General features: G+C 36.9%; 1 annotated feature.

Moving 5' to 3' along the window:
- Window positions 2491-3187: an enhancer, noted in NCBI's record as "NANOG-H3K27ac hESC enhancer chr18:4917478-4918174 (GRCh37/hg19 assembly coordinates)". NCBI's record gives its function as "activates a minimal SCP1, AML or CMV promoter by ChIP-STARR-seq in naive H9 embryonic stem cells {active_cell/tissue: H9 hESC(naive)}" and the evidence as "EXISTENCE:reporter gene assay evidence [ECO:0000049][PMID:30033119]".

The following is an 8003-nucleotide window of genomic DNA, read 5'->3' on the forward strand; positions in this document are numbered from 1 at the left end:
AATATATGCACAAATATATACACTTACTGTATATGTATAAAAATTAAAAATTGAGAAAAATGTAAATATCAATAACGAGATTTTTTTAAATCATGGAAAGAAACCAAAAAGAAATTCTGGACCTAAAAAGTGCAACAACTGAAATGAAAATTTTCCCCAGAGGGATTCAAAGATAGATTTTAGCAGGGAGTAGAAAGAATCAGTGACCTTGAAGTCAAGATATTTGAAATTACCCAGTCTGAAAAATAGGAAGAAAAAATATTGAAGAAAAATAAACAGAGCCTAAAGGACCTGTGAGACACCAAAAATTGGGCCAGCATATGTATTGTAGGAGTTCCATGGAGAGAACAGTAAAGAATACTTGCAGAAATAATGTCTATAGACTTCTCACATTTGATGAAAGACATTAATATAAATATCTTGGAAGCTCAACAAACTTCAAGTAGGATGGAGTCAAAAAGACCTATATCAAGACACATAATAAAATATACAAAAGACAAAGAGAGAATATTGAAAACATCAAGAGAAAGTGATTCATCACAAAGAAGAGATTTTCATTAAGATTATTAGATTTCTCAGTGGAAATATTGAAGGCCAGAAACAGTGAGATAATATACTTAATGTGCTAAAAAGGAAAAAATATTGCCAAGCAAGTATCCTGTCTGGCAGAACTGCCCTCGAAAAGTGAGGAAGAAATTAAAACATTCCTGGATAACACAAGCTAATAAAGTTTGTTACTGCTGGATCTGCCCCATATTAGTCTGTTTTCACACTGTTGATAAAGACATACCCAAGGCTGGGTAATTTATAAAGAAAAAGAGGTTTAAGGGACTCAGTTCCATGGCTGGGGCAGCCTCAGAATCATGGCAGAAAGCAAAAGGCATGTCTTACATGGTGGCAGACAAGAAGGAAAATGTGTGCAGTGAAACTCCCCTTTATAAAACCATCAGATGATGTGAGACTTGTTCACTATAATGAGAACAGCATGGGAAAGACCCACCCCATGATTAAATTACCTCCCACCAGTCCATCCCATGACATGTGGGAATTATGGGAGCCATAATTCAAGATGAAATTTGGGTGGGGACACAGCCAAACCATATCATTCTGCCACTCGCTCATCCCAAATCTCATGTCCTCACATTTCAAAACTAACCTTGCCTTCCCAACAGTTCCCCAAAGTCTTAAATCATTTCAGCATTAACTTGAAAGTCCACAGTCCAAAGTCTCATCTGAGACAAGGCAAGTCCCTTCTGCCTATGAGCCTGTAAAAGCAAAAGTAAGTTAGTTACTTTCTAGATATAATGGGGGTACAGGTATTGGGTAAATATACCCATTACAAATGGGAGAAATTGGCCAAAATAAAGGGGTGACAGGCCCTGTGCAAGTCCAAAATATAGTGGGGCAGTCAAATCTTAAAGCTCCAAAATGATCTCCTTTGACTCCATTTCTCACATCCATGTCACACTGATGCAAGAGGTGGGTTCCCATGGTCTTGGACAGCTCCACCCTGTGGCTTTGCAGGGCACAGTGCCCCTCCTGGCTCCTTTCATGGACTGGCATTGAGTGTCTATGGCTTTTCCAGGCACATGGTGCAAGCTGTCAGCAGATCTACATATCCTCTGAAATCTAGGCTGAGGTTCCCAAACCTCAATTCTTGACTTCTGTGTACCCACAGGCTCAACACCATGTGGAAGCTGCCAAGGCTTGGGCCTTGCACCCTCTGAAGCCATGGCCTGAGCTTTACCTTGGTCCCTTTTAGCCAAGGCCAGAGCAACCGGGATGCAAGGCGCCAAGTCCCTAGGCTGCATACAGCAGTGAGGACCTGGGCTTGGCCCACAAAACCATTTTTTTCCTCTTAGGCCTCCGGGCCTGTGATGGGAGGGGTTGCCATGAAGGTATCTGACATTCCCTGGAGATATTTTCCCCATTGTTTTAGATATTAACATTTGGCTTCTCACTATTTATGCAAATTTCTGCAGTCACCTTGAATTTCTCCTCAGAAAATGGGTTTTTCTTTTCTATCACGTTGTCAGGCTGCAAACTTTCCATACTTTTATGCTCTGTTTTCCTTTTAAAACTGAATACCTTTAACAGCACCCAAGTCACATCTTGAATGCTTTGCTGCTTAGAAATTTCTTCTTCCAGATACCCTAAGTCATCTCCCTCAAGTTCAAAGTTCCACAAATCTCTAGGGCAGGGACAAAATGCCACCAGTTTCTTTGCTAAAACAGCAAAAACTTTACTCCAGTTACCAAGAAGTTTCTCATCTCCATCTGAGACCATCTCATGTAGGGGTGGGTTGCCCCTCCACACCTGTGGGTGTTTCTCGTAAGGTGGAACGAGAGATTTGGAAAAGAAAAAGACACAGAGACAAAGTATAGAGAAAGAAATAAGGGGAGCCGGGGAACCAGCGTTCAGCATATGGAGGATCCCGCCAGCCTCTGAGTTCCCTTAGTATTTATTGATCATTTGTGGGTGTTTCTCGAAGAGGGGGATGTGTCAGGGTCACAAGACAATTGTGGGGAGAGGGTCAGCAGACAAACACGTGAACAAAGGTCTTTGCATCATAGACAATGTAAAGGATTAAATGCTGTGCTTTTAGATATGCATACACATAAACATCTCAATGCTTTACAAAGCAGTATTGCTGCCCGCAGGTCCCACCTCTAGCCCTAAGGCGGTTTTTCCCTATCTCAGTAGATGGAGCATACAATAGGGTTTTATACCGGAGACATTCCATTGCCTGGGGACAGGCAGGAGACAGATGCCTTCCTCTTGTCTCAACTGCAAGAGGCATTCCTTCCTCTTTTACTAATCCTCCTCAGCACAGACCCTTTACGGGTGTCGGGCTGGGGGACAGTCAGGTCTTTCCCTTCCCACGAGGCCATATTTCAGACTATCACATGGGGAGAAACCTTGGACAATACCTGGCTTTCCTAGGCAGAGGTCCCTGCGGCCTTCTGCAGTTTTTGTGTCCCTGGGTACTTGAGATTAGGGAGTGGTGATGACTCTTAAGGAGCATGCTGCCTTCAAGCATCTGTTTAACAAAGCACATCTTGCACCACCCTTAATCCATTCAACTCTGAGTTGACACAGCACATGTTACAGAGAGCACGGGGTTGGGGGTAAGGTCATAGATTAACAGAATCTCAAGGCAGAAGAATTTTTCTTAGTACAGAACAAAATGGAGTCTCCTATGTCTACTTCTTTCTACACAGACACAGTAACAATCTGATCTCTCTTGCTTTTCCCCACAATCTCAGCCTGGATTTCATTGTCTGTGTCATTATCAGCACTTTGGTCAAAGCCATTAAACAAGTCTCTATGAAGTTCCAAACTTTCCCACATTTTCCTGTCTTCTTCAGAGCCCTCCAAACTGTTCCAACCTCTGCCTGTTACCCAGTTCCAAAGTCACTTCCACATTTTTGGGTATCTTTACAGTAGCACCCCACTCTACTAGTACCAATTTACTGTATTAGCCTGTTTTCATGCTGCTGATAAAGACACACTTGAGACTGGGTAATTTGTTTTTTAAAAAAGAGGTTTAATGGACTCTTACGTGGCTGGGGAGGCCTCACAATCATAGCAGAAGGCAAATGGCACATCTTATGTGGTGGTAGATGAGAGACAAAACTTGTGCAGGAAAACTCCCCTTTATAAAACCATCAGATCTCATGAGACTTATTCACTATCATGATCTCCCATGAGAACAGCATGGGAAAGGCCCTCCCCCATGATTCAATTACCTCCCACTGCGTCCCTCCTCCCACAACACATGGGAATTGTGGAAGCTAAAATTTGTGATGAAATTTGGCTGTGGACACAGCCAAACCATACCTTGCCCTATGATAAATGCTAAAGGGAGTCCTTCAAATTGAAATGAAAGGACTTTAGAAAGCAACTTAAAGCTGGATGATAAAATAAAGTTCTCAGGGAAGGTGAACCTGTGGGCAATTATAAAAGCTAGTATTATTTTTATTTTGGTTTGTAACTTCACTTTCTGTTTTCTACATAATTTAAGAGACGAATGCACACTAAAAAACATTAGTTTATATTTTTGAACACAATATGTAAAGATTTAATTTTTTGAATCAACATCTGAAAAAGAAAATCCCTGGACCAGATAGCTTCACTGGTGAATTCTATGAAACATTTAAAAAAACTAATACCAATCTGCAAACTTTTACAAACAACTGAAGAGGAGGGAATTCTTCCTAATTCATTCTATGAGGCCAGCATTACCTTGATACCAAAGCCAGACAGACACTACAATAAAACTGGGCAGATATTCCTTATAAACACTGATAGAAAAGTTTTCAACAAAATACTTGCAAACTAAATTCAATAACATATTAAAAGGATTAAAAACCATGACCAAGTTGGATTTATTTCTGGAATGCAAGGGTGGTTCAACATACAAAAAGCAATCAGTGTAATATACCACATTAATAGAATAAAGGAGAAAACAGCATTGATCACATTAATTAATGCAAAAGAAAGAACTTGATAAAATTCAACACCAACTCATGAAAAGAATCCTCAATGAACTAGAAATATACAGAAACTATCTCAACATAATAAGATACATAAAGGAAAAAGCCACAGTGAATATTATACTCAATGCTGAAAGTCTGAAATCTTCTTCAATATAAGGGACAAAAAAGGAAGTCCATGTTTAGCCCTTCTACTCAACATAGTAGTAGAATTTCTAGCCAGAACAGTTAAGCAGGAAAAAGAAATAAAATACATTCTAATTATAAAAGATGCAAAATAATCTTTTCTCACTGATGATATTTTCTCATATGTATTAGGGTTATGCAAAAGTAGTTGCAGTTTTTGCCATCTAAAAATGGCACCAAACTAATGGAACACCCTAAAGATTCCACAGAAAAAAAATTGTTAGAACTAATAATCACATCCTGCAGAGTAGCAGGATACAAGGTGAATACAAAATAAAAGTCACTTGCATTTCTATACACTAACAATGAGCAATGGAAAAGGAAATTAGGAAAATAATTCTATTTACAATAGCATCAAAAACAATAAAATACTTAGAAATTAACCACGGAGGTAAAAACTGTATTTTAAAAACTACAATACATTATTGAGAGAAACTAAAGAAGATACAAATAAATGGAAAGACATAAAATGTTTATGGATTGAAAAACTTAACATTTTTAAGATGGCAATAGTACCCAAAGGAGTCTGTGGATTCAAGGCATTGCCTATCAAAATTCCAATTATGTTTCTTTGAAGAAATAGAAATTTTTTTCCAAAATACATACGTAAACAAGGAATGTCCAAATAGCCAAAAAGTCTTAGAAAAGCTGGAGAACTTGTACTTCCTGATTTTAAAACTTCCTATAAAACTACAGTAATCAAAACAGACACGTAATAGCATAAAGGCAGGCATATAGACCAATGAAAAATAATAGAGTGCAGAAATAAACTCTAGCATGTACAGTCAAATGATTTCAACATGAGAACCAAGACCATTTGATAAAGAACAAACAGTATTTTCAACATGTGCAGGAAAAATAGAATATTCACATGAAAAAAATGAAGTTGGACCCTTACCTAATACCATATACAAAAATTAACTCAAAGTGGATTAAAAACTTAAATATAAGACCTGAAATTGTAAAACCCCTAGAAGAAAACATAAGAGGAAATCTTCATGATATTAGTCTAGGAAATGTTGTCTTGGATATGATGCCTAAAACACAGGCAGCGAAAGCAAAACTAGACAGGAGTAACTACATCAAACTAAGAAGCAAAGCTCTACGCAGCAAATGAAACAATTAACAGAGTGAAAAGAAAATCTACAAAGAAGGAGAAAATAATTTCAAACCACATATCTGATAAGAGGCTAATATCCAAATTGTGTATGAAACTCCTGTAACTCAACAACAACAACAACAAACGCAAAACAACATAAAACCCAATTTAAAAATGGGCACAAAACTTGAATAGACATTTCTCCAGAAAAGACATGCAAATGCCCAATAAGAATATAGAAAGATACTCAATATCACTAATGAGGGAAAGGCAAATCAAAATTATAGTGAACTATCACCTCACACTTCATAAGATGGCTATTATAACAGCAAAAAAAGGTAACCAGTGTTGACAAGAATATAAAGAAATGGAAACACCTGTACATTGTTGGCAGGGATGTAAAATGGTGTAGCTGCTATGGAAAACAGTATGAAGATTCCTGAAAAATATTAAATATGATCCAGAAATCTCACTTCTTGGTATTTATCCAAAATAATTGAAATCAGGATCTCAAAGAGGTATCTGCACTCCCATGTTCACTGCAGCACTATTTACAATAGACAATGTATGGAAACAATTTATATGTCTGTTTACAGATGAGTGGATAAAGAAAATGTGGTGTATGCATACCATGAAATATTATCAGCCTTAAAACAGAAAAAAATCCTGCCACATGCAATAAATAACATGGATGAATCTTGAAGACATGCTAAGTGAAATAAGCCAGTCACAGAAGGTCAAATATTGTGCAATTCCACATATATGAGACACTTAAAGTAGTCAATATCATAGAAACAAAAAGTAGAATGGTAGCTTCCAGGGACTAAGAGGAGAGGGAATGGGAAGTTGTCATTTAATGGGTATGGAGTTACAATTTCACAAGATGAAAAATGTTCAGAAGATGGATGCTGGTGATGGTTTCACAATTTGATTACTTAATAACACTGAACTGTACACTTAAAAATGGTTAAAATATGTCTACTCAGGTCTTTTGTCCATTTTTAATTGGTCATTTGTTTTTCTACTATTGACTTCTATGAGTTCTTTTATAAATTTTGGATATTAACTCCTCATCAGATACATGGATTATAATTTTTTTCCCAATCCATAGCTTGATGTTTCATTTTATTGATTGTATCCTTTGCTGTGCAGAATTGCATTTTAATGTAGTTCCATTTATTTATTTTTGCTTTTGTAGCCTGAGCTTTTGATATAATATCCTAAAAATATTGCCAACCTATCAAGGAGTTTTCCTCTATATTCTCTTCTAGGAGATTTATGGTTTCAGGTCTTACATTTAGATCTTTTATCCAATTTGGGTTAATTTTTTTGTATGTTTACATAATTTCATTCTTTTGCATGTGGAATTCTAGTTTTCCAAGCACCATTATTCAAAGAGACCATCTTTTCCTCATTGTGTCCTCTTGGGGGGTCTTGAAAAAAATTAGTTCATCTTATATTATTGGATTTATTTCTGAGCTCTCTATTCTGTTGCACTGGTCTGTGTATCTGTTTTTATGTCAATATCGTATTATTTTAATCACTACAGCTTTGTAATGTAATTTTAAATCAGGAAGGGTGATGCTTCCAACTTCATTTTTCTTTCTCATAATTGCTCTGTTTCTTCGGGGTCTTTTGTTGTTCCATACAAATTTTAAGATTTTTTTCTATTGCTGTGAAAGAAGGATGGCATTGGGATTTTGATATGAATTGCTTGAATCTGCATTTTGCTTTGGGTTGTATAAGCATTTTAATAATATTAATTCTTTTGATCCATGAGAATAGAATATCTTCATTTATTTGTGTCTTCTGTGATTTTTTTCATCAATGTTTTATAGTTTTCAAAGTACAGATCTTTTATCGCTTTGGTTAAATGCCACAAAAAAATGGGTAACTGTGAAATGATGGATATGTTAATTTGCTTCACATACCTTGTCACACAGTGTCAATTTTACTATCTATATGTATTCCATAACATAATGTTGTATACCTTAAATATGCATAATAAAATGTATGTATTTATTTATTATTTTTTGAGATCTCTCTCTGTCACCCAAGCTGGAGTGCAGTTGCATGATCTTGGCTCACCGCAACCCCTGCCTCCCAGGTTCAAGCAATTCTGCTGCCTTAGCCTCCCAAGTAGCTGGGACTACAGGCTTATGCCACCACACCTGGCTATTTTTTTTTTTTTTTTGTATTTTCAGTAGACATGGGGTTTCATG

The sequence above is a fragment of the Homo sapiens genome, chromosome 18, assembly GCF_000001405.40.
Source record: "Homo sapiens chromosome 18, GRCh38.p14 Primary Assembly".
NCBI classification, from domain to species: domain Eukaryota; kingdom Metazoa; phylum Chordata; class Mammalia; order Primates; family Hominidae; genus Homo; species Homo sapiens.